The 25,938-nt window shown below is 41.8% G+C and overlaps 1 protein-coding gene across 5 annotated transcripts in view; it reads right to left on the reverse strand.

Annotated features, from left to right (window-relative positions):
* PPP1CC (protein phosphatase 1 catalytic subunit gamma) overlaps positions 1-25,938 on the reverse strand; it is a 34,516-nt gene that overhangs the window by 5,355 nt on the left and 3,223 nt on the right. The window contains exons 2-9 of one of the 5 annotated variants that reach the window (XR_007063094.1): positions 18,040-18,171; positions 16,799-17,029; positions 10,930-11,034; positions 8,742-8,965; positions 8,405-8,539; positions 7,375-7,435; positions 1,272-1,417; positions 653-765 (exon numbers count right to left, since the gene is read on the reverse strand). Coding sequence is in view for 4 of the 5 variants with exons in the window: in XM_011538504.4 (XP_011536806.1) it covers positions 1,272-1,417; positions 7,375-7,435; positions 8,405-8,539; positions 8,742-8,965; positions 10,930-11,034; positions 16,799-17,029; positions 18,040-18,171 (1,034 nt within the window). In the remaining variant the exon portion in view is untranslated. Of the gene's footprint in view, positions 1-652; positions 766-1,271; positions 1,418-5,949; positions 7,436-8,404; positions 8,540-8,741; positions 8,966-10,929; positions 11,035-16,798; positions 17,030-18,039; positions 18,172-25,938 lie in introns of those variants that run through there. The other 4 variants (XM_011538504.4, NM_001244974.2, XM_011538505.4 and 1 more) reach the window with 4 other exon arrangements.

The following is a 25,938-nucleotide window of genomic DNA, read 5'->3' on the forward strand; positions in this document are numbered from 1 at the left end:
GTTCCACCTGTCAAAAAAGTTCGACCAGCATTGTCTTAAGAGGAATTCTGGTTTTCTGGAGTGGAGAATGCAGATCACTTTCTCAAAACTTTCATTCTTGTGCCAGGCGCAGTGGCTCACACTTTGGGAGGCCAATGCAGGCGCATCACCTGAGGTCCAGGGGTTTGAGACCAGCCTGGCCAACATGGTGAAATCCTGTCTCTACTAAAAGTACAAAAATTAGCTCGGCGTGGTGGCGGGCACCTGTAGTTCCAGCTACTCTGGAGGCTGAGGTGGGAGAATCGTTTGAACTTGGGAGGTGGAGGTTGCAGTGAGCCAAGATTGTGCCACTGCACTCCAGCCTGGGTGCCAGAGCAAGACTACAACTCAAAAACAAACGAAAACAAAAAAACTTTCATTCTAGCAAGATTATATTGACCTCAGCAAGATTATGGCTTCTAAAAATAAAAGTATAAAAACACAGCATTCATGGCAACCAAAATGTGCACCCAATGAGTAATTTGCACTGCAGCAAATCTTAAGATTGCCTGCTTGCTCTCCTCTCCTCAGTCCACCCTCCTAAGTAATACCCAATGGCCCTAGAACAGTGAGAGGAACATGGGGCAGATCTGAAACCAATCTAAGCCAAGCTAGTGAGTAAAATCCAGCTAACCCTGTGATCCACGCTGAATCTGGGTCCTTCACTTATGCTGGACAGCCTCCTGAGCGGAGGACCATGTGAGTCTACGATCTGTCCATTCCACCTCTCAATCTGAAGGGCAAGCACTAGAGAAGATATGTGGTGTTTGTAGGTCAGTAATCAAAACTTGGGAAGGCCTGTAATCCCAGCACTTTGGGAGGCTGAGGCAGGCGAATCACTTGAGGTCAGGAGTTTGAGACCAGCCTGGCCAACGTAGTAAAACCCCGTCTCTGCTAAAAATATAAAAATTAGCTGGGTGTGTGGCACGCACCTGTAATCCCAGCTACTTGGGAGGCTGAGGCAGGAGAATCACTTGAGCCCGGGAGGTGGAGCTTGCAATGAGCCGAGATGGTACTACTGCACTCCAGCCTGGGCGACAGAGCAAGACTCTGTCTCAAAAAAAAAAAAAAAAAAAAAAAAAAAAAATTGGGAAGTGATTTCATTATGGTAAACTAACAGCAGGTATGGAACAGGACTCCTTGAGGGGCTTGTGGAGCTGGTGAATGAGCAAAGCCCCATCAGATGGTAAAAATCTTCTGCCAACCTCAGCAAAAACACCCTTTATCCCACCCGCTCCCTCTGCCACACCTACCTAACTTGCCAGGGAAAGGTCAAGCCAGTCTGTCCAAGAATATAACGACCAGTTTACTGTTCTCTTGTTCACCAGCCCTGAACAACTGGTGTGTGGGATGGTCCTCTCTGGGAGACATGGTGTTTGATACTGTGCTAATTGGGTGGCTAGAAAAAAAAAAGGAATACGCACTTTTAAGTGACATTTTAGAATTGTTTCAAGAGTTGCACCAAATATGCATTTTGGCTGAATGAGTATTAAAATCAGTATTTGGTGGTCATAGCTAAATATCGCTATTAGGAAACTGATTGTTTGGAACACAAGAATGAATTTGAAATTCTATCAAAAATTATTTTTTGAGACAGGGTCTCACTCTGTCGCCCAGGCTGGAGTGCAGTGGCGCGATCTCAGGTCATTGCAACCTCCGCCTCCCAGGCTCAAGCGATCCTCCCACCTTAGCCTCCCAAGTAGCTGGGACCACAAATGTGCACCACCATGCCTGGCTAATTTTTTGTATTATTATATTTTTAATAGAGACGGGGTGTCACCATGTTGCCCATACTGGAAAAAAATTTAATTGATACCATTTAATTATTACAATCATCAGAATTCTCCCAAGTTTGATGCTGGGCTGGTATGCTACTTTTTTTCTTTTTTGAGACGGAGTTTTGCTCGTTGCCCAGGCTGTAGTGCAATGGTGCGATCTCAGCTCACTGCAACCTCTGCCTCCTGGGTTCAAGCGATTCTCCTGCCTCAGCCTCCTGAGTAGCTGGGATTACAGGCATGTGTCACCACCATGCCAGGCTAATTTTGTATTTTTATTAGAGATGGGATTTCTCCATGTTGCCCAGTCTGGTCTTGAACTCCTGACCTCAGGTGATCTGCCTGCCTTGGCCTCCCAAAGTGCTGGGATTACAGGCGTGAGCCACCGTGCCCGGCCAGTATGCTACCTTCTTAGCACCACCTGTCGCTTTATTGCTCCTGCGGTATCTGCATGTTTGTAATACTAAATAGATGCTCACTTTGAGGTTGGTGGAAAGGCAAGTTGCTTTTTGGCTGGTCCTACCACCAAATTGGTTGTTCCATCCCAATAGCAAGGTAAAGACTTATGTCTTCCTTCTCAATTCCTAGACTTAAAAAATCTGGTTGATGCCAGTGCCTTTACACAACCCCTCAATCTCAAGCTTTGGGCAGTGCCTCAGGATGCTTTCTGAGATGCACTTAAAAGACTTGCCGTACTGATTCATTCCTGATATTTTGCATGCCTTATATTTTAAAATTCTTACAAACTTTTGTTAGTTCAAGAGTATAAAGTTCTTGAACTTATGTAGGTAAAATTCTATTTCCCTATTACTGCAAACTTTCTTAGTTTTAACTTTTTTTTTTTTTTGAGATAGAGTCTCGCTCTGTTGCCCAGTCTGGAGTGCAGTGGCAGAGTCTTGGCTCACTGCAACCTCTGCTTCCCAGGTTCAAGCGATTCTCCTGCCTCAGCCTCCCGAGTAGCTGGGATTACAGGCATGTGCCACCACACCTGGCTGATTTTTGTATTTTCAATGGAGACAGGATTTCACCATGTTGGCCAGGCTGGTCTCATACTCGTGACCTCAAGTGATCCACTCACCTCGGCCTCCCAATCACGCTGGAATTACAGGCATGAGCCACTGCACCCAGCCTAGTTTTAACTTTTTGATTACAAAACTGTTTACATGATTAACTGAAGTGCTTTAATCCTCTAACATATTTATCTTTCAAATAACTGACATAATTCTCACAACTGAAATACTTACCTGTGTTTGAAATTATTGGAATACTTGTAATACATCTGGATGACAACAAGTCCGTTGGAGCTACAGCTGATCAGATGGGATGGCAGTCATCTCTGTGATCACACAACTATGAACCACCCACTAATTCAGGGATGCACTAATGCAAGTACTCAATTCTATTTGAGTCGTAGGCTGAAGGTGTTGATAGTCCATCATTTCCACTCTTCTGAAGCTCACACGTTGGCAAGGATGAATGAAAAGTGACTTCTGCCTGTGCCTGGCCCAAGTTTTCCTAATCAAAGTTCCTGTGTGTTGCCATTGGTCTAAATCTTAGGGCTATTCATTGGTCTTATACCAGGGCTGTTTCCTGAATGCTTATGACTAAGGCAAGTTGTAGATTTTTGGTGGGCTAATCCTCACAATCCCATCGTTAAGTATTCTAGTTATTCCTCTTCTGTGGGTGAGAAGGAAACCAAAGCCTGGGGCAGAGGGTGCCATGTTCTTCCAGTCTGGGCTGATGCATACATCTGATTTGCAGGACTGAAAGTTCTTACTCATCAAAACCACCCCTGCAGATTCAAGCCAGCTGGTACATGAGGTTGAGTTTTGGGTCTTTTCCTCAAGATAGGAAAATGGAGACATAGCACTTCAAACCCACTTTGTTTGTTTAAGAGTCTCGCTCTGTCGCCCAGGCTGGAGTGCAGTGGCGTGATCTCGGCTCACTGCAAGCTCCACCTCCCAGGTTCACGCCATTCTCCTGCCTCAGGCTCCTGAGTAACTGGGACTACATGCGCCCATCACCATGCCCGGCTAATTTTTTCTATTTTTTTTAGTAGAGACAGGGTTTCACCGTGTTAGCCAGGATGGTCTCGATCTCCTGACCTTGTAATCCGCCTGCCTCAGCCTCCCAAAGTGCTGGGATTACAGGTGTGAGCCACCATGCCCGGCCTCAAACCCACTTTCTGGAAGTTTTCTTTAATGTCTTCTATAGACCCAAACATGAGGAAGACATTCCTTCTTTGTTCTGATGCAGATCCTCAGCTTTGTCCCTTCTACTAATTTCAGGTGATACTTGGATTACATGGCCCTTGTCTCCGTGTCTCAATTCACATGGTGTCTGCAAACTGCCAAAATAAACCTAAGATTTTTCATGCAGCACTTCCCTGCAATGGTTCCTTTGTGTTTTTTGGTATCATGATGCCTTAACTTGGTAGCTTGTATCTTCACTTCCCAGCAAACTGAATTCCCTTTCAAACGCTCATCATGGACCCACATTGAGAAATTTGATTGATATTCCTTTCCATCAGTTTAAATCATGTGCCTTCTTCATGGCTCAGCATTCAGTAATTTTTTCCTAGTCCCTGTGTTCCATATCCCATTTATGTGTATGTTACTCGAGAACTCTGGCCTTAAATCAAGGTACTTCAAGAACAAGGGTTATATGTGAGCATCTGTGCTGTCCACTGCAACTAGACATGGGCAGGCCTAGTTTGTGTACCAAATCAGCAATTTCTATGGGAGGGTATTACATAGATGATTGAGCGACTAAGGATGCCTAGCACCTGCCTTTCTGTATGGTTTTGTAATGGTGCTGTCATCTTGTGACCCAGAATACTTGACAAAAACAAAACCAAACCAAAACACTTAATAGAATAGTATCACACTAATAATTACAACTTCCTCTTTCCTAGTTACTTCTTTTGCATATGCTGAAAACATCCATGATGGTGTTCCCTTATGCAGTAAATGCTCAGACATACTTAGCTATCCATGGCTTGGTATCAGGTGCAAAGCAAAGCAAAGGCAAGTGACACTTCAAACTCAGCCAACCGAGATGTGCAAAGACACGAAAGAACTGGGATCGATAAGATAACCAAAAGCAAACATTTAGCAAATACCACCGAGTTGAGCATTCTAAAGACACCACACAACTTCACTCAAGATTCACAATGTGAGACGGCTTCTGCTATGGACGTTTCATAGCTAGGAACACAGTGGCTCAGCATTCAGGTCACTCACTCAAATCAGGTAGGAGGGGCCAAGACTTGGGTTATCACACACATCTCAAGTTCTGCTGTCAAACAGATTTCAAACTGAGTCTCTCCTAATGATCTCAGGTCCTAAAACCAAAGATTAATCTTGTCTTCTACTTGACCAATGTTCCTTAAGAAAAATTTGAGCCAGATACCACACTCCAATAATGATATAATCCTTAGTACTTGATAAATGTTCCTTAAGAAAAACTTGAGCCTGATACCACACTCCAATAATGATATAATCCTAGTAGAGCAGCCCAATTTTACTTTATAGCATTTTGAAATCCTAGTATCAATTCATTAACATTCAGGACATAAAGATGTGCAGAATTTGCCTTTGACACAATTATCATTCACTGTTTTCTTCCTATAGTCAAAGAAGTCTGGGAGAATATTACGTAAAAGTGAAACAGCACAAGTTTGGATATTGTCAATGTGGAGCAGGCAGGTAATGAGGTCCCCCTTCCCTCTTTGATGGGAGCATGGCAGGGTCCAGATGCCTCAGGACCGGGGCTTGTTAGCAGAGGGGAGTCCATGGCCCTGTGCTCTTCTGTGTCCTTCAAAGAGTTCCTCGCTAGGTCCTCTGCCAACGCCCTCAGGGAGACCACTTTGTAACAGGAAAAAAAGCTTTTCAAATGACATGCTCTTCACTCATTTTTAGCGTACCTTTGAGAAATTAAGATACATACTTGTGACAAAATATGACATGATACTGTGTTCCATATAAACCAGGGAAGGGGGAAGAGATCAAAGAACTGTGCATGAAAATATAGGTGGCTGACTCAGAAAACAAAGTGAGCTGCTTTCAAATTCGCCACTAAGTTCAAGTGAACCCAGACAGTAAGAAAACTATGGACACAGATTAATCCCCATCTCCCCAAATGGTAGAGGAGGATCGTTCCACCTCATCACTCTATTACACAAATAGATGTCTCCAGGTTACAACTCAAAGAGTATTAGTATCTGTATTATAATCCATCTTTGGAAAACAGACTATTTGAAAGAAGCAAAACCAAAATGCAACCGTGTGGTTTCCAGAGCAATTTATTCAGGAAAATCTATTCAATATGCCATCAACAGTTCTCCTGTGTGTATTGTGCTGATAAATAGACACTGAGAAGATTTAACAAGTTCATCATTTAATAAGTCTGAATTCATTTTCACCACACGGTATTGTACACGGTCATCTGTTGAAACAGATTTCTTTTTTAACAGATCTTAGTTTAAAAAAGTCATAGGTACTGTGAGTTCTGTATAAACTGGTGGACAGTAAGTTAGTTCCTTTGTTTTAACTTATAAGCCTCAACTTCACCGCAGAATAAAGAATGTAGGCCAAAGAAAGCATAATCGGTCACTCGTATAGAACAGTATTGTTTCTATAATTTGAAGCTTTCTGAATGGACGGGTTCAGGCCTGATGCAACTGTAAAAAGATTACTTAATGAATAGACTATATGGAAATTGTATAAAATGTTATTACCTTTTATCGTTAGTAGCTTAAACAGCACTATATCACTAATTGCTATTCAAAATCAAAAACCTGTTTTTGAATCCCCAAGAAGGCAGCATGTGTATACAACCATACCACCTTGTACTTAGGGGTGTGTCAAAACATAATTCAACAGAAACTTTGGCTTTAGGAAAGAGTCACAAATATTTAAAAGAATGGCTTTGTCATTTTAAGTATACGGTCGGGGAAAAGTGTGCTTTAATTAAATATACATCATACCAGTGATGCTGGCAAGGTTGAAAGTTACTCCTAATGTTGATAGCTATAAAAACTAGTTTGTACATAACAAGACAATGAGAGGAAAAAGCAATCCCTTTGAAACAAAATTCTCAAATAAAAAATGTTCACAGTGGTTTGTATCAACAGTATGCATTTTATGACAAGAACATGTACAGATTCAGAGCACCCTAGGGCTCTCTTTATGTCCTAAAGAAAATGAGCATTTACATGATTATGGGTTGTACTGAATTAAAAAAGATCAATTGTACACTTACTCCTCAGACAGGATAAACTGTCCTGGGGTGTACAGCTTTAACACCATCATTAAAATTGTTTGCAAAAGGAACAGAGAATTAAAAAACAAAACACTTTTCTTTTTGGAGTGAAGAGTCTTTCATTTGCTGTTATAACCAGCAAATGCCATTCACTAAATCAAAAATGGAAGGAAGGGCCCCCACAAACACAGATCTATCTGAGCAAGCTGACCAGTACACATTACAGTCTTAAAAATGAAGGTTATATACTCTATGTTACAAGTCCCGACTAGGCAGTGTCAAAACGACATCTATTTCTTTGCTTGCTTTGTGATCATACCCCTTGGAGGCGTTACAGGTCTCGTGGCATTTGGCTTCTTTTTCTCTGCAGGCTTTAAAATCTGGAGATTCAAAAGACAGTTAATTTAGGAAATATACTCAACCCCAAATCTTAAGAGTCCTTAAATTTCATTCAGATCTTCTGTTCAGATGGTGTTCACAACTGCCCCAACAACTGTAAAAGCCCCCCTAGCATATTAACACAAGCTATGTTGAATGTAAACATTTGGTAATTAACGCTATGACGAACAGATAAAATCTATTATCTGGACAAATTATTTTGCCTCTGAGTATAATGACAATCTTCTGAAGTCTACACCTGGTAGTATCTTTAGCTACTCCTTCTGATACAGGGGAAAAAGTTCTTTACAAAAGTGTTTCTCCAACCTGTAGGGGATCCTTGCACAATCTTTGGAATTTTGAAAGCTGCAAGTTCTCTCTGATAATTGGTAAAAAACTATTTTAATTCATTTAACTGATGAGTGCCACATGATTTGGTGGCTGTATTTATGTTTATGACTAGGCTGGCTTGAAGTTGTACAAGTATCATAATAAGCAAATGAGAAAAAGGCTGAGGCAGATTCTAAATAATGCTTTTGTGCCAACTGAAGGCCAAATGATGTCATGGTACATTAACAGAAGTTTTGTGGAAGTTAGACTAGAGGGCAGAACTAAGTAAACACATAGCACAAGGCACTCAGTACTTTTCACATTCAAGTGGTGATTTAATTTTAGCTGAACATTACATTGTCATTAAGGTTTTAGATTTACAGTAAAAGAGCCATAAGCATTAAGGAGCCAATATGCAATGCAAAAATTTATAATTCAACACTGGGAAAAGGTGCCATAATTAATTTTTTCTTTTACAAGGGATCCACACATTATTCAACTATAATACACACTGGTTAAGGGAAAATAAAAACTTAGCCTACTCAGCATAAGTGAACACTAGGCAAAAAGTAGCAATTATATTTTTCAATCAGCAAAGTGTAAACATATTAAAAGGAAATCATGTTGAAAGCATGCTCTACCTGAAAAGAACACATTAGTGTTTCATCCACACTCATCATGGCACCTGCATTGTCAAACTCTCCGCAATAATTGGGCGCAGAAAACAGAGTGACCAACTGCCTCTTTGCAAAAAATTCATATCCATCTTCAACCACCTTGAAGAGAAAATTTTTTCAATATAAATAGGTGCAAATATTAGGTGAGTAAAACCATGTTTCAGTTTCCCATTGAGCCTGATATCTTGTGTTCCAGAAACACTTTGTATAAATAAGCAATACCTACCCACCAAAATCAACAAGGAGAATCTGTGCTCACACACATGCTCTTAAGTGTACATGTAAAATTCAAAATCAATACCTGATGGGCTCTACATATAAGATCCAAATCATGCTTATGGAGAAATTTTGCAACCACTTCTGCACCAAATGTGAAGGACACTCCTCTGTCATTTTCACCCCAGCCTAAGACATCTTTATCGGGGTCAGACCACAAAAGATCACAAAGAAGACCTTGATCTGGTACATCAGTTGGTCGCATAATTCGCCGAATCTGCTCCATAGATTGAAGATCTGGTGATAAACCTATTCAATGAGGAAAAAAAAAAAATGAAGAAAGCAGAACTTTTAAAAGGATACTACCCCTTCAAAAGTTCCATTTGTCTACAGAGAAATTCAATAATCCTGACATAAAAACTGAAATCTATGATTATATTTTATTTACTTTTGGTTAAAAGAAAAAAACACAGAAAAAGGACAACTGGATACACACTAGAATTACATGCAGTAATGCATGGGGTGCAGTAGGTTTAAACAGTACATGGAAACAATTATATTATACAGAACACTGTAAAATAAAATCCAGTGATTTAAAAAACTCTTCTATGGGCTTCCCCCAGTTGATGACAATAATGAGCGATGTTATGATTGATGGCTTATAATGACTGAGCTGAGAAGATAAGGATGCTCAGTGTGAGGTAGTTCTCTAGGAAACCTGCACTGTTCACAGACCATTAAAATCTACAAGAGCTTATTGTATCGAGTTACAATATGGGATGCATATTGTAAGAGTTAAAAACCATGTATCCAACTCTACCAAAACCTAAGTACAGAAGCACAGAGATAAAAGACATTATGCAGGCTTTTTGATGGCTAAAATCTACAAGAGCTTATTGTATCGAGTTACAATATGGGATGCATATTGTAAGAGTTAAAAACCATGTATCCAACTCTACCAAAACCTAAGTACAGAAGCACAGAGATAAAAGACATTATGCAGGCTTTTTGATGGCTGATTAATTTCAGACCATACAGGAAAAGAAATTCTCTTTGCAATTACTATTTTAATTACATTATAGAAAGCACAACCACTGAGCAAAGCAAAACAGCTTATAACATATATATGTATATATTTTCAGAGATAGGGTCTTGCTCTGTTGCCTAGGCTGGAGTGCAGTGGTGCGATCATAGCTCACTGCAGCCTTAAACCCCTGGGTTCAAGCGATCCTCCCGCCTCAGCCTCCCAAATAGCTACGGCTACAGGTGTGCACCATTACACCTGGCTAACTTTTACAACTTTTTCTAATGACAGGGGTCTCGATATGTTATAGGCTGTTCTCATATTCATGGCATCAAGCAATCCTCCTGGCTTGGCCTCTCCAAAGTGCTGGAATTACAGATGCGAGCCACTATGCCTGGCCAAAATAACTTTTAAAATCCAAGTCAGAGAAAGTTCTGAGAGGATAAAAAACAATCAAGGGAAAATCTACTCACATCTTGAGTGTTCTAGAGGATCTCTGGCACAACAAATTACACATTGTTCATTTTATAGTTAAAAACACTCTTCTGCCGGGCGTGGTGGCTCAAGTCTGTAATCCCAGCACTTTGGGAGGCCGAGGCGGGCAGATCACGAGGTCAGGAGATTGAGACCATCCTGGCTAACACGGTGAAGCCCCGTCTCTACTAAAAATACAAAAAATTAGCCAAGCGTGGTGGCGGGTGGCTGCAGTCCCAGCTACTCAGGAGGCTGAGGCAGGAGAATGGCGTGAACCTGGGAGGCAGAGCTTGCAGTGAGCCGAGATGGTGCCACTGCGCTCCAGCCTGGGTGAGAGAGCGAGACTCTGTCTCAAAAAACAAAAACAAAAACAAAAAAAACCAAAAACTTTTCTAAGCCGGGCACAGTGGCTTACACCTGTAACCCAGCACTTTGGAAGTCCGAGGCAGGAGGACTGCTTGAGCCCAGGAATTTGTGACCAGACTGGGCAACGTGGTGAGAACTCATCCTTACAAAAAATAAAATAAAAATAAAAATTTTCTGCTCTATTTTCAAACCTAGCTTACAGAGTCTAGAATTCCCTGTAATAAATCAATTCCTTAAGATTTTTATCCAAATGATCCTGGCTGTATCAGAGTGAAAGTGCAATGCAACACATCAACAAAGGAGAGTGTTCTGTCAGAGAAAGTCATCCCAATGATAACTCACAAATGTTAAAGTGTTCACCCTTTGGAAGGGATCAAAACCTATTTGGAACAAAAATCAGCCCACCTACCTCCATGACAGCAGAATATCTTCTCATCCACGATGGCTGCTATCGGTAAACAGTTAAAACAGTCTGTGAAAGTTTTCCATAGTTTAATGTTGTATCTTCTTTTACCTGTGATTAAAAAGAGAGTATTACATTAAAAAGAGAGTATTACTGTTCCGTAGGCTCATTCTCTCAGGATTAACTTCCCCCAAAGCAAGATTCTGGGTGCCTTTTAAGCAAATGAAACTATGTTTTTATTAAGAATCTTAATAAAACCATCTTATTTTAAGGCTCTTTTAAAATAAGAGCTGGGCGTGGTGGGTCAGACCTGTAATCCCAGCACTTCGGGAGGCTGAGGTAGGAGGATGGCTTGAGCCCAGGAGTTCAAGACCATCTTGGGCAACATAGTGAGACCCCATCTCTTTAAAGAAAGACTCTCCTAGAGGGAAGGGGTTTAGGAGAGACACATATCTGATCTAAAAGCAATGACTTACATTTTCACATGAAATCTTTTTAAATTCCACAGAAGCATGAAACCAGAATTCCAGATTTGATAATGATTAAGGACTGCCATCAAATCCCAGGAATTATCTGGGAGCATCAATTCTGTTTGAAATTGTCTGCTCTGTCCAATCTCACCGCAGCTAGTCCCCTACTTCTGAATTCAATTACGAACTTACACATGTGGCGTTATGACCTTCCTTCTGAGGAAACCTGAGAGTTAGCACCCATCCCCCATATATGCCCCTCAATAACCTACTGACACCAGAGGATCCCCAGCCCTCAGTACTCTAGCAGGAGGCACAATGATCACACGGCAGTGGCTGCCTCTCACAGGCACTACAGGGCATTTGTTTCCAACACTGCACAGACTCCACATGCTCCCACAGGCCTGATGTCACAGGATGGTCATGTTCCCTCAACAGCACAGGCATCCACACATTCTGGAGTCAGAGTGCAGTTCTGACAGAAATATGCCTCTATGCACTGTTTCTACAGGAAACTGATGTTCTGAGTTTAAAACCTAGTCACATACCTTGCAAGAACAAATTTCTCTGGATTGGTTGAGGATTGTCCAATTGTCCAGATGCCTTTGTTTCCTGTACTTACTATACTAAGCACAATCTTTAAAAACCAGGAGTTTGGCCAGGCGCGGTGGCTCACACCTGTAATCCCAGCACTTTGGGAGGCCGAGGCGGGCAGACCATCTGAGGTTGGGAGTTTGAGACCAGCCTGACCAACATGAAGAAATCCCGTCTCTACTAAAAATATAAAAATTAGCTGGGCGTGGTGGCGCATGCCTGTAATCCCAGCTACTTGGGAGGCTAAGGCAGAAGAGTCACTTGAACCTGGGAGGCGGAGGTTGCGGTGAGCCTTGATTGTGCCATTGCACTCCGGCTTGGGCAACAAGAGCGAAACTCCGTCTCAAAAAACAAAACAAAACAAACAAAACAAACCAAGAGTTTGTCCTTAGTCTCTTTTCCTGGGGAATACAGGGACATCTAAAGGTTTAAACCTATACCTCTCCTTTGAGAGTTAGAGCCAGCCCAAGCAACTGACCTGAACCACACCTCCCACCCTGTAATGCAAATCAAGCAGCTTAGGGAGTTTACCACAGGGCTTGAAATGAAATGTAAATTCAACAAATGTTTGCCTTCTCTCTGCAGAGGAGTGTTATCTTTTCTCCTAATAATTTCTGGTTTCTCAATGACTGGGTCTAACACTGACTATGGTTCACCCTGTTGCATATTTCTTTAGAGGTCCTTCACTAGGGGGTTCGGAAAGTTTAACAAACTTCTCCCGCCAGGCTGAGGAAGGAAAATTGCTTGAACCTGGGAGGCAGAGGTTGCAGTAAGCCAAGATCGCACCATTGCACTCCAGCATGGGCAACAAGAGTGAAACTCCGTCTCAAAAAAAAGCAAACTCCTTCTTACGAAAGGCTGAAGGGCAATCTCCAAAAACCACCAACTCCCATTTCCAACAGCAATACTACTACTACTACCACCACAGGATGAGTATCCTTAATCCAAGATGCTCCAAAATTTGGAACTTTTTGAGCACTCACATGATGCTCAAAGGAAATGCTCACTGGAGCATTCTGGATTTCAGATTTTTGGATTAGGGATGTTTAACCAGTAATTATAACACAAATATTCCAAAATTAAAAACAAAAACAAAAAACCTGCAACACTTCTAGTGCCAAGCATTCCCGGTAAGGAATACTTAACCTGTATTATAAAAACAGAGCTGCTGTCTTAGCTCCCCAGTGACAGTGACTTCCTCTTTCCCCAAGGTCAGCTTCACTTCTGGATACTTTTTTTGAGGTGGGGTCTCACTGCATCACCTAGGGGGAATGAAGCGACGCAATCTTGGCTCACTGCAACCATGGTCTCCCAGGTTCCAGTGATTTTCCTGCCTCAATCTCCTGAGTGTCCGCGACTACAGGTGTGCACCACCACAGCTAATTTTTGTATTTTTAATAGAGATGGGTTTTCCCCATGTTGGTCAGACCTCCTGACCTCTTGTGATCAGGTTGAACTCCTGACCTCAAGTGATCCACCCACCTTGGCCTCCCAAAGTGCTGGGATTACAGGCGTGAGCTACCACGCCCCGGCTTTGATTCTTTAGTTATGCCACATACTCCAGCTTCTCCTGCTGATTCCTGCTGGCTTCTCCATCAAAAATCAGTTTGTTTCCTCCTTTTCCCTCTCAGCACTTTAAGCGTGGGCCTGCCTCTTTCTATTCTCTCTTCATTTCCTCCCTAAGGCTACCTCAGACCACTAGGAACATCTGGCTCCTGAAAGGTTTAGCCAGGGTAATCGCCTAGCTTCCAAATCCTAAGATTCTGAGCCATAACCTGTAATGCGGTTTCGCATTACTGTACATCAGACAGCTACGGCAGCAGAAACAGATCAACAAACACTCATGTTTTACCCAACAACATATACCTCAGCCTTTCCATCACATTTACAAAGTTAAAAAAAAAAAAAAAAGAAATGGTAGTATAAAGTACTTATGTACCTGGAAAACAGGCAGTGGTTTTTAAATTGTCCCATGAAAATCAACATTTGAATACAACTTTTCATTTTAATAAAATTAGTTAAGTATTTTATATATATATTAAATGTCTGCAAGCCTTCAACCAAAAGCCACCTATGTCAAGGGCACTTTCATGCCCACAAGTAGACTGGATGGCAAATTATATCTGCCTGATGAGAGAGAGGAAGCTTGAGCATAAGATCTACAAATTGTGTTGATGACCAAACAGGAGTCGAAACTGATACCAACCAACACTGATCTTCTAAGTCATTTTTTAAAGGCCTCTGCATTAAGTAGAAACCGAAACTGATGCAGCCAGTATCATTACATTAGGATACACGTCACAAAAATGAGGTCAACTGGATTTGAATTCATCAGTGCAAACATGAAAAGTATTTGCTGGGCTAACAGCTATGTAAAAGGAATCCTTTAACTCAAGAGCAGGCCAGGCACGGTGGCTCACGCCTGTAATCCCAGCACTTTGGGAAGCAGAGGCGGGCGGATCATGAGGTCAGGAGATCGAGACCATCCTGGCTAACACAGTGAAACCCCGCCTCTACTAAAAATACAAAAAATTAGCCGGGCGTAGTGGCGGGCGCCTGTAGTCCCAGCTACTCGGGAGGCTGAGGCAGGAGAATGGCGTGAACCCAGGAGGCGGAGCTTGCAGTGAGGCGAGATCGCGCCCTGCACTCCAGCCTGGGCGACAGAGCGAGACTCCGTCTCAAAAAAAAAAAAAAAAACAAAAAACAAAAAACTCAAGAGTAACACTTGGAATAAGTATCCAAAACACAGTGTTGGCTGGGTGTGGTGGCTCATGACTGTAATCCCAGCACTTAGGGAGGCTGAGGTGAAAGGATTGCTTAAACCCAGAAATTACAGGTGGTAGTAAGCTATGATCCCACCTCTGCACTCCAGCCTAAGGCTCTGTCTCAAAAACAAACAAAAAAAACCCATCACACCTGCCTTGCATTTCACTACCTAAGGAGTAGTAACTGGCTTACTGGTACTTCTCTGACACAGAATCACTGTTAATATTGAATACCTTTCATGTACAAGTTCAATGCTATCAGTCAGTCCAGAACCCATAGAATTTTTGTCCCTGATGATTCCTGCCACCCCATCTTATCAGCTGGATCTCAAGGTCACAGACCAAGCAAACATCCAGTTGTGGGAAAGGGTGGTAGTAGAAGGGCTCAGTTTGTGAATATAATCTTTCTAGGATGCACTTCTAACAAATGTGCTAGCTCAACATATCTATGTGAATTGAGATGGAAAAACACTGCATCTGGAGACTCTAGGTTACGATGTGGTCTAGGGGAGGGCCACAGGGACAACCCTTTGCTGATATCCCTATAATCATATTAGCAAATGCCAAGTACCTGAAGTTCCTTAACCACCTCTTCACTCCAAACCTGAAACCCGTCCTGGCAGCAATGATGAGCACAAAAGGAAGGTGAAGGTAAAGATTCAAAACCTTTTCTGACTTGAAACCCTTTACTGAACTGATATTTTCAAAGCTTTTTTTTTTTTTTTTTTTTGAGACGGAGTCTCACTCTGCCACCCAGGCTGGACTACTGTGGTGTGATTTTGGCTCACTGCAACCTCCGACTCCTGGGTTCAAGTGATTCTCCTGCCTGAGCCTCCTGAGTAGCTGGGACTACAGGCATCTGCCACCACGCCTGGCTAATTTTTGTATTTTTAGTAGAGATGAGGTTTCCTCATGTTGGCCAGGACGGTCTTGATCTCTTGACCTTGTGATCCACCCGCTGTGGCCTCCCAAAGTGCTGGGATTACAGGCGTGAGCCACTGTGCCCAGCCTATTTTCAAAGCTTTAAGAACTGTGTTTTGTCAATAGTCAAATCGAAGTATACCTTTAATTAAACAATCCAAAATGGGTCACAAAATGTGTAAAATACTGTAAAAATAATCTTTGTTCAGCACATTTTAGTTTTAGGAAAGTTATTGCCATTCTTCCTGGGTGTGGATATGCCAGAAGGAGAAAAACTATAATAATTTCAAAAACTAATTATTTACGTATTGCAAGATTCCATTTGCATGCAATATTCTCTAGAAAAGACAAAAAGTAGATTAGTGGTTGCCTGGGGACTATGGTGATGGTCGCATAACTCTATAAATTTACTACAAATCGCTGAATTGTACACTTTTAACAGAATAATTTTATGGAATGAAATTACATAATAAAGTTGCTTAAAAAAACTATTTGGAATGGTTCTCAGATTTCTACTAAGAATTAAGTTATCTGTGAATACAACAATTTAAATCTTAAAGCAACCATTACCATGATCATTACTTCCTAATCTGATCATCACATCATAAAAGAATCCAAGACCTTATTTTATTACAGCGGCAGTGTTATTTTTCTACCCAAGAGAGAAAAAACTGGCTGGGCATCATGGCTCACGCCAGTAATCCCAGTACTTTGAGTGGCCTAGGCGGGCAGATTCCTTGAGCCAGGAGTTTCAGATCAGCTTGGGCAACAAGGTGAAACCCCATCTCTTCAAAAAAATACACAAATTAGCCAAGCGTGGTGATGCATGTCTGCAGTCCTAGCTACCTGGGAGGCTGAGGCAGGAGGATTGCTTGAGCCTGGGAGGCAGAGGTTGCAATGAGGTAAGATGGTGCTACTGCACTCCAGCCTGGGCAACAGAGTGAGACTCCGTTCCCCCACCCCCCTAAAAAAGCTAAGCTAAAAACAAGTTGATGAAATAGAAAACATGAGAGATGATACCACTGCATCTAAACTCTCACAATTCCTAACAGAAGTATGTGATAATTGTTTATGATAAATATCTTAATTTCAATAACTCTTCCTTAGATATAGAAAAGTACTTACATTCATCATAAAATCCATAAATTCTGTTGATGCTGGCACATTCATGGTTCCCTCTGAGAAGAAAAAAATTCTCAGGATATTTTATTTTGTAGGCCAGTAAGAGGCAGATCGTCTCCAATGACTGCTTTCCCCTGTCCACATAGTCCCCAAGAAACAGGTAGTTGCTTTCTGGTGGGAAACCACCGTACTCAAAAAGTCGCAGCAAATCATAGTATTGTCCATGGATGTCACCTGGAAGCAAGAATTTTGTTACACAGTGTTCCCATACTTAAAGCTCAATCCACTAACAAAGCTTTGGAAAGACATTCTTTAAATATTCATTGTACAATGGCATTGACCTCTAGTAATGAGAGTTTAACTGGGCAGCCAACACTAAGTAATTTCCAATCTTATATCATATTTAGTTCAACTGAGCTTAACAAAAATTTTAAGTATATGTGTATGTCCAGAACCTCACATAAAATTCAACTATTAAGAATTTATTCTGTGGAAAGGGTTATTATGTCCAAGCATGCATTCTTGCCAAGTAACATGGTATCCCTTTCAGGCTGACTGATCAATATCAGATCTCTGACAGCTCAGTCTCTGGGTACTGTGTCAGCAGAACTGCTGCACTTCTAGTGAGTCTTGGCCCCATCTGAACAAAAGCACATACACACATACACACCACCCCCACCCCCCACCCATCAATGCATTTAGCTTTCAATTTCTCCCTGCTAGATAATGCCAAAGAACATTTTACTTTTAAAAACATGAACACAAAGTTTTATCAATGCAAATATGCTATAAGAATATATTACTCAAACGAATAAAGTTTGGTTTTACATTGAGTTAAAACACAGATTATTTGCTTCTATTATGCAGAAAACAGAACCACAAAATCAGTATCAAGGAAGTTCTATTTTTAGCTATAACCAGTGTTGCTTTAAACTTAAACATATTCCTATACATCCATGTAGTTCAGACCTTTCCTCAGCTCTCCATTCTTAGTTTCATTTTTTTCTTTTGCAATGTTTATTCCTTCAGCAAAATATTTTTTTTAAAAATCTGAAGTACATCTAAGTAAACTAAGTCCATTAGAGGTATTTATTCTAAAGCTACTATTTAACTTACTTTTAAGTAGTTCCAAGCTATTCGCAAACAGGATAATCATTCTGCTAGCTAATACAAGGTCATCAACATATCCTTGACTCAGTTAATCAATCATGTAACAAAAGATAACCTGTGTGCCCCAAACTTACCACATATTTTGAGTGGTGCTTCAAGTTCTAGTAGGATAGGCTGACTGAGAAAGATTTCACGAGACTTTAAGCACAGTCCTCTGATTTCATTCTCCTGAAGCTGGACATTCTTACCAGGCTTGGACCCTCTCACTGCAAGAGAAAAATCGCAATTAGTCCAATGAAGCCAAAATACAAAATACAATACGAGATTTAGATAAAGGGGCAAAAACATGGTTTAACTAGCTTTCTGAGTGGCTTCATTTTCAGGACACTTATAATAAACATGGTTTTAATGTCTAATTAGAATCTTAAAATCTTAGACAAGACTTAATTGCATCTTCGATACCAAGTAAGACTTCTTTTATAGTATTCCAAAAAAGGAGCCATCCTGTCTGTGCGAATGCTGTTAGAAACAGGACTGCAGGCCAGATGCAATGGCTCACGCTTGTAATCCCAGCACTTTGGGAGGGTGAGGCGGGCAGATCATGATGAGGTCAAGAGATCCAGACCATCCTCGCCAACATGGCGTGCACCTGTAATCCCAGCTACTCAGGAGAATCGCCTGCACCCGGGAGGCGGAGGTTGCAGTGAGCCAAGATCGCGCCACTGCACTCCAGCCTGGCAACACAGCGAGACTCCGTCTCAAAAAAAAAAAAGAAAAGGAAAGAAAAGAAAAGAAAAGAAACAGGATTGGAAATACTCAGAACCCTCCCCCATCAGTGTTTTCCAGAGGACCATGGGTATCTCCTCCTGAGGATCTCTGATTTAATTTACCTATGAAAAAATGTTAGTGTTGTTTTCATTTCATTAAGAAAATGTTGGTTCATTGTACTTATTTTGCCATGCATTTTCTGGGCCTGCATTTGTGTTTATGCTCATGTCTATATAGGGCAAAGGATGTCAGTCATGTGCTATACTGTAAGAAAGCACGTTCCCTAATAATTTGAACAGATAAGATAATAATGGGAGAAAGAAATCATTGCACAGCATGGGGCATCCACACCACCAGAGCACTTAGGGTTCTTCTATCAAAGTACAAACTTTGCAACAGAACTCACTTGTCAGCACGTAGGTAGTTGTGGGAAAGAAATTTTGTTTTGGTTCCAGTTGTAACAGACTGGATAGTCATTAGATACAGATAAAGTAGCACGGAACTGCTAAATGTACCTTAATTTTACAGTTATAAAGTTCACTTTTGGACCCCAAAATATGTAACTAAGTCTCGTTCTGATAAAAATATTATACAACAAGAAGCAATAAAAGCATAGTAATAATAGTCTTCGAGGAAAGATATGAAACAGATGCATATTTAATAAAACAGCAACTGAGCAACAAAAATGTTTTTTTCGTAAGTAATTTTTTTTCTCTCTAGACACACATACAGAGTTAGAACTCAGGAAATACTCCCGGTGAAAGATGGGATCCCCACTTCATTGGCCAGAAAATGCCAATCATTAGTGATTTCACCATAAGTTAACCAAAAACTTGGGCAGACTGCCCAGCAGGAAGCTTTATTTTTGGCTAGGAAGGAAATCCTAGAAGCTTCTGGTTTCAACGTGAATTTTTTTCAGCAGAGTCCCACACTTATGAATGAATAGCTGACTCTAAGTCTTCTAGGAGAGTATTTCTGCGATAAATAGCTCATACCATATAATGGCAAGCTTTGTTTTATGAATGCTATTGCAGTTAGTCAATGCCATCAGATGAAATCAATGTTGCTAACAATTTTTTTTTTTGGCTTTGGACGCTCTCCACTGTCACCTTTGAACATAGTTTATATTTGTTTTAACTCCTTTATTCTGTTTCTGTTTGTCCTCTGGGTGGGGACATTCAGAGATCAGTAAAAAGCAAAAGCAATACTAACAACAATTTAAAAATTCTTCTTTTTTGAAGAAGCCTGGTGCCCAGGCTGGAGTGCAGTGGCATGATCATGGCTTACTGCAGCCTCAACCTTCCAGGCTCAAGTGATCCTCTTGCTCTGGCCCCCCAAGTGCCGGGATTACAGGCATGAGCCACTGCACCTGGCCTTAAAAATTACTCTTAATATTAAGATTAGATGCAGCTTTTCCAGAGAAAATAAAGATTTGTATTTAAAGAATGGTGCTTATGAAAAACATCAACAAACATGGTCTGAAAGCTTCTTAAATTCCCTAAAATTAGCAGAAAGAAAAAAGTTATATAAAGATAGAAACTGCCAAAACCATCTTCCATCAGTTATCATACAACTGCTCAGACTTCAGGCCTCTGCTCAGATACCACACTTCACCCTGGAGAAAAGCTTCTCTCATCCATCTCCTCTCCCCTCACAAGCTTGCTGCATGCTTTTTGAAAGGCTCTCTCAACATCAGGTCACTACCCACCACACCCCCTCAACCATGCTTGTATTTGTTTTATACTTGCCAGTTTGCTTCTGCCGGCTCATCTGGACCCACTGGTAGAATGTAAACCCACAGCAGCAGTCCTGCTCTGTAGTGTACACCAGCCATAGCCAGCACACAGCAGGTGCTCAAAATTTGTTGCATGACTGAAATCTGGATAAGTCTTTAAGTAGTGTTGACTGGTGGCATTAGAATTAAACATATATTCCAGACTATATATTTATTTATTTAGAGACGGAGTTTCACTCTTGTTGCCCAGGCTGGAGTGCAATGGCACGATCTCGGCTCACTGCAACCTCCGTCTCCCGGGTTCAAGCAATTATCCTGCCTCAGCCTCCCGAGTACCTGGGATTACAGGCATGCGCCACCACATCCAGCTAATTTTATACTTTTAGTACAGATGGGGTTTCTCCATATTGGTCAGGCTGGTCTCGAACTCCCGACCTCAGGTGATCCACTGCCTCGGCGCCCAAAGTGCCAGGATTACAGGTGTGAGCCACCGTGCCCAGCCCAGACTATATACTTTTGATGAGCAAAAAGCCTGTTTCTGCACTATAAAATTATAAAACAATAGGGCCACTTGCTTACCAGGCTTTACTGGAGTATTTTTCAAAGTATGAAAATCTAGAATTACTCTTAAATTTCACGTTGAATTGTCTAACAGAGATTTCAAATGGGGCTTGGCAGTCCAAGTGAACACTGGAGAGTTCTTAAAAGTTGTCATATCAGGCTGGGCGTGGTGGCTGGTTACTGCGGAGGCTGAGGCAGAAGAATCGCTTGAACCCGGGAGGTGGAGGTTGCAGTGAGCTGAGATCGTGCAACTGCACTCCAGCCTGGGCGACAGAGTGAGACTCCATCTCAAGAAAAAAAAAAAAAAAAAAAAAGTTGCCATATCAGCCAAAAGCATACAAATTCACTTCACTATTTTTTTCTTTCTTTTTTTGAGATGGAGTCTCACTCTGTTGCCAGGCTGGAGTGCAGTGATGCGATCGTGGCTCACTGCAACCTCCACCTCCTGGGTTCAAGTGATTCTCCTGCCTCAGCCTCCCAAGTAGCTGGGATTATAGGCGTGCGCCACCGTGCCTGGCCCACTTCACTATTTTCAATGTCCATCAAACAGAATTATTTACTCGTTGTAGTTAACATTTACTGAGCACTTATCCACTAGGCACTGTACTAAGGGCTTTATATTGCCATTCAATCCTGTCAACGATCCTAGGAAGTCAGGCACTGTCATCTCCCATTTTACAGTGACTTAGTCCAAGGTCACAGAGCTTAAGGACACGAGGCCGCGATGCTACATCTAGTGGTGCATTCTTAATTCCCAATTAAGAATCTGTTCTACATTGAACTTCAAAACCAAAGGAGAAGGTTGGGCACGGTGGCTCATGCCTGTAATCCCAACACTTTGGGAGGCCGAGATGGGTGGATGACCTGAGGTTAGGAGTTCGAGACCAGCCTGGCCAACATGGTGAAACCCCATCTCTACTAAAAATACAAAAATTTGCTGGGCATGGTGGTGCACGCCTGTAACCCCAGCTACACAGGAGGCTGAGGCACGAGAATCACTTGAACCTGGGAGGTGGAAGTTGCAGTGAGCCGAGATTGTGCCACTGCACTCCATCCTGGGCAACAAGAAAGAAACTCCGTCTCGGCCAGGCACGGTGGCTCATGCCAGTAATCCCAGCACTTTAGGAGTCCGAAGCGGGCGGATCACCTGAGGTAAGGAGTTCGAGACCAGCCTGGCCAACATGGTGAAACCCCGTCTCTACTAAAAATACAAAAATTAGCCAGGCGTGGTGGCAGGCACCTGTAATCCCAGCTACTCGGGAGGCTGAGGCAGGAGAATCGCTGGAACCCACGGGGCAGGTTGCAGTGAGCCCAGATCGCATCATCACACTCCAGCCTGGGGAACAAGAATAAGACTTTGTCTCAAAACAAACAAACAAACAAACAAACTCCGTCTCAAAACAAACAAACAAACAACAACAAAAAAGCAACACCAACTTAGACCTAAGGATGTGACTTTTCAGTAGAAGTATTAATATTTCTTTATCTGGCTAGAAAGGGAGATTCAGGAAAACGTATTATTACTGTTAAAAGCGAAGGTTGCTCTGTAGAAATGTATCTGATCTATTTTTCTGGCAAATCACTGACACGAGCAATAATAAAAACTTCCACACATTTTTATTGAAAACAAACTGGTAAAAATTTGAATTATAAAAGAATAGCAGCCAGATGTGGTGGCTTGGGCCTATAATCCCAGCACTTTGGGAGGCCGAGGTGGGAGGATCACTTGAGCTCAGGAGTTAGAGACTAGCCTGGGCAACATGGTGAAATTGAGTCTCTACCAAAAATACAAAATATAGCTGGACATGGTGGCGTGCGCCTGTAGTCCCAGCTACTCGGGAGGCTAAGATGGGAGGATCACTTGAGCCCGGGAGACAGATGCTGCATTGAGCCGAGATCATGCCACTGCACTCCAGCCTGGGCCACAGAGTGAGATCCTGTCTCAAAAAATATAAATAAATAAAATAGCATTGGTGATTATTTACAACACCAGCTCTTTCTCATAAGCAATACTAACTTTTGAAAGTTAGCTGCTGGCAAAAAGCAAAGCAAAGATGGAAACTATGGAAGGAAATTTAAGACAAGTTTGAGATTATTTATAAGGAATAAAAAAGTATTTTCCTTGCCACATAAAGGCCCCTTAATTGTTTAAATAAAAACATATTAAAGAAATAGCATATACTAAAAAAGCCCTAGCTGAATTCTAATGAAGTTTCAGAACCTAAGAAAGGCACAAGTGGTATAAAAATAAGCCAACGAAGATTTTGCTGTTTTAAAATAATCCTGTTAAAAAGTAGGTGATAATTTTAACAATATGCCACATCATATTCATTTCAGTGAAATCAATAGCCTCATGATATTTGACAGATTTAGGAAAATAAGACTCAAACCAAAACAAAAAACAGTAAATACTTCCAACATTAAGCATTCCCATAAACGACTGAGTTCTTTTCTGCAAAAAGTATAAACCACAAAAATGTTATCAAGAATCCTTTGGGCCGGATGCGGTGTCTAACGCCTGTAATCCCAGCACTTTGGGAGGCCAAGGTGGGTGGATCAGCTGAGGTCAGGAGTTTGAGACCAGCCTGGCCAACATGGTAAAACCCCATCTCTACCAAAAATACAAAAATTAGCAGGGCATGGTGGTACATGCCTGTAGTCCCAGCTACTCAACAACTGAGGCTGAGGCAGGAGAAATCGCTTGAACCTGGGTGGTGGAGGCAGCAGTGGGCCGAGATCCTGCCACTGCACTCCAGCCTGGGTGACAAAGAAAGACTCAAAAAAAAAAAAAAAAAAAAAAAAGAAAAGAAAAGAAAAAAGAACCCTTTAAGTTTCTCTGCAAAGTCACCAGCAGAAAGACTTCCATGTTCTGATTATCACAATTGTTTCCACACCCTGCCCTCTCCCATCCTGATTTTCCTAACAGATGGGGTTACACTTCAGGCATTGAGAAGTGACACCAAGGCAGGGAGCTGTGGTTCACGCTTGTAATCCCAGCACTTTGGGAGGCTGAGGTGGGAGGACTGCTTGTGGCCAGGAGTTAAAGAACAGCCTAGGCAACACCCCTGTCTTTAAGAAAAAAAGAAAAAGAAAAAAAAATTAGCCAGGTGTGGTGGTGTGTGCCTATAGATCCGGCTAGCCAAGAGGATGAGGAGGAAGAATCGCTTGAACCCAGGAGTTCAGGTCTCCAGCCTGGGGACAGAGTGAGACCCAGTCTCTAGTAAAAAAAATAAAAGTGACACCATTTTTTTCAAGGCAGATAGGATGTGGCTGCAAAACACTGTCTACTGTTCTCAATAAAGCATCTTGAGTTTTCTACACCTCGAGTAAAGCCAATCCATTAAAAACTTTAATTTTCACAGTCTAAGAACACATTTCGGTAATATACCACTGAGTAGACTACATTTTGAGTTTTCATTTGCTGTAAGCTTTACTGTCGGTGATGACCACTACCTTCTAGAAGAGGGATGACAGTAAACCCCAGTGAAGTGGGGAAGCTGGAGATTTCAGACAAATCACCAAGATCCACAAACACATCATCTGTTCTTGATGCTTTGGATACAGAGGTATGATCTTAAAATATCAAACTCTATCCTGGAATTCCATAAGCTCCATGGAAATGAAATCCTTCCTTCTTGGTCTTGAATGACTTTCCAGTTCTTTATCTACAAAGCGACTGACACCCAGAATATTATCTCCTTCATATTTTAATCTCTCAGGTCAACTAATGGCCTCAATTGTAAATTAAGTTAAATGGTGAAGTCCACATAACATCAATAATTTCCCTGCTTCACCATCAGGAATCCTCACCTAGTCAAGTGGGCTGACTGGTACTGTGATTCTGCACAACAGGTTACAGGTTGTAATAGGACTGTGCTTTCAAAGACATCAAATCACCTCACTAATTTCTACAGCTGACCACTGCTGGGCTACAACTGCATGTCCATTTGCCCAGTTATGAGGAGGAACACCCTAGGCTCAGAATGCAGAGCGCTCCTGTGTGTCACATCCCCCGCAAGCACAACGTCACACACAATTCTGTCAGATTTCACTGCTGCCTCCTGCTACTGACAGGCAAGAGGGCACTGCGGGCACAAGGAGAGTAATCCTTTTTCAATGCTGTGGTTTAAAAAAGGACTCCTGCAAGCTGCAGATCATCTGTCTCCAACAGAGCTTTCCCACCTTGCCTAGGAGGAGAGGAAGTGGGCATATGACCAACATACTGATGGGAAAGGAAGGGCAAGGGCTCACATCAGAGTTCTTATCAATGAGGGAATTAGAAACTGACAACTTGGATGTGAGTGTAAAAATTACCTGCTCTGTAAACAAATAATTACAGGCTGGGCACGGTGGCTCATGCCTGTAATCCCAGCACTTTGGGAGTCTGAGGCGGGCAGACCACTTGAGGTCACGAGTTCAAAACCAGCCTGGCCTCATCTCTACTAAAAATACAAAAACTTGGCCGAGCGTGGTGGTGCATGCCTGTTAATCCCAGCTACTCAGGGGGCTGAGACACCAAAATCGCTTGAACCCGGGAGGCAGAGGTTGCAGTGAGCCAGGATCCCACCACTGCACTCCAGCCTGGGTGACAGAGTGAGACTCTGTCTCCAAAATAAAATAAAAAAATAAATAATTACAGGTGTTCATTAGGAAAGATTACTTTTGTTTTTTTTTTTGGTTAGCATATTAAGAAACCTTCCCCTTTTTAAACCATTATGTTTGTCCTTTATTATCTTTAGGACCAGGGATGGCTAAACACCAGAATATGAACGTTTTATACTGCATCAAAAAGATGAACATATGGGTTATTTAAACAATCTTAGAGTTTCAGAATATCTGAACACTCCCTACCTTCAGAACAACCCTTATGTATCAGAGGATTAAATCTGTAAGCACTTTCTGTGAGCCAGGGCAGAGATCATATTTAAATCACTAAAACAAGTCAGGCAATTCTGCAGAGCCTGACATG

Source organism: Homo sapiens, chromosome 12, assembly GCF_000001405.40.
Source record: "Homo sapiens chromosome 12, GRCh38.p14 Primary Assembly".
Taxonomy (NCBI): Eukaryota; Metazoa; Chordata; class Mammalia; order Primates; family Hominidae; genus Homo; species Homo sapiens.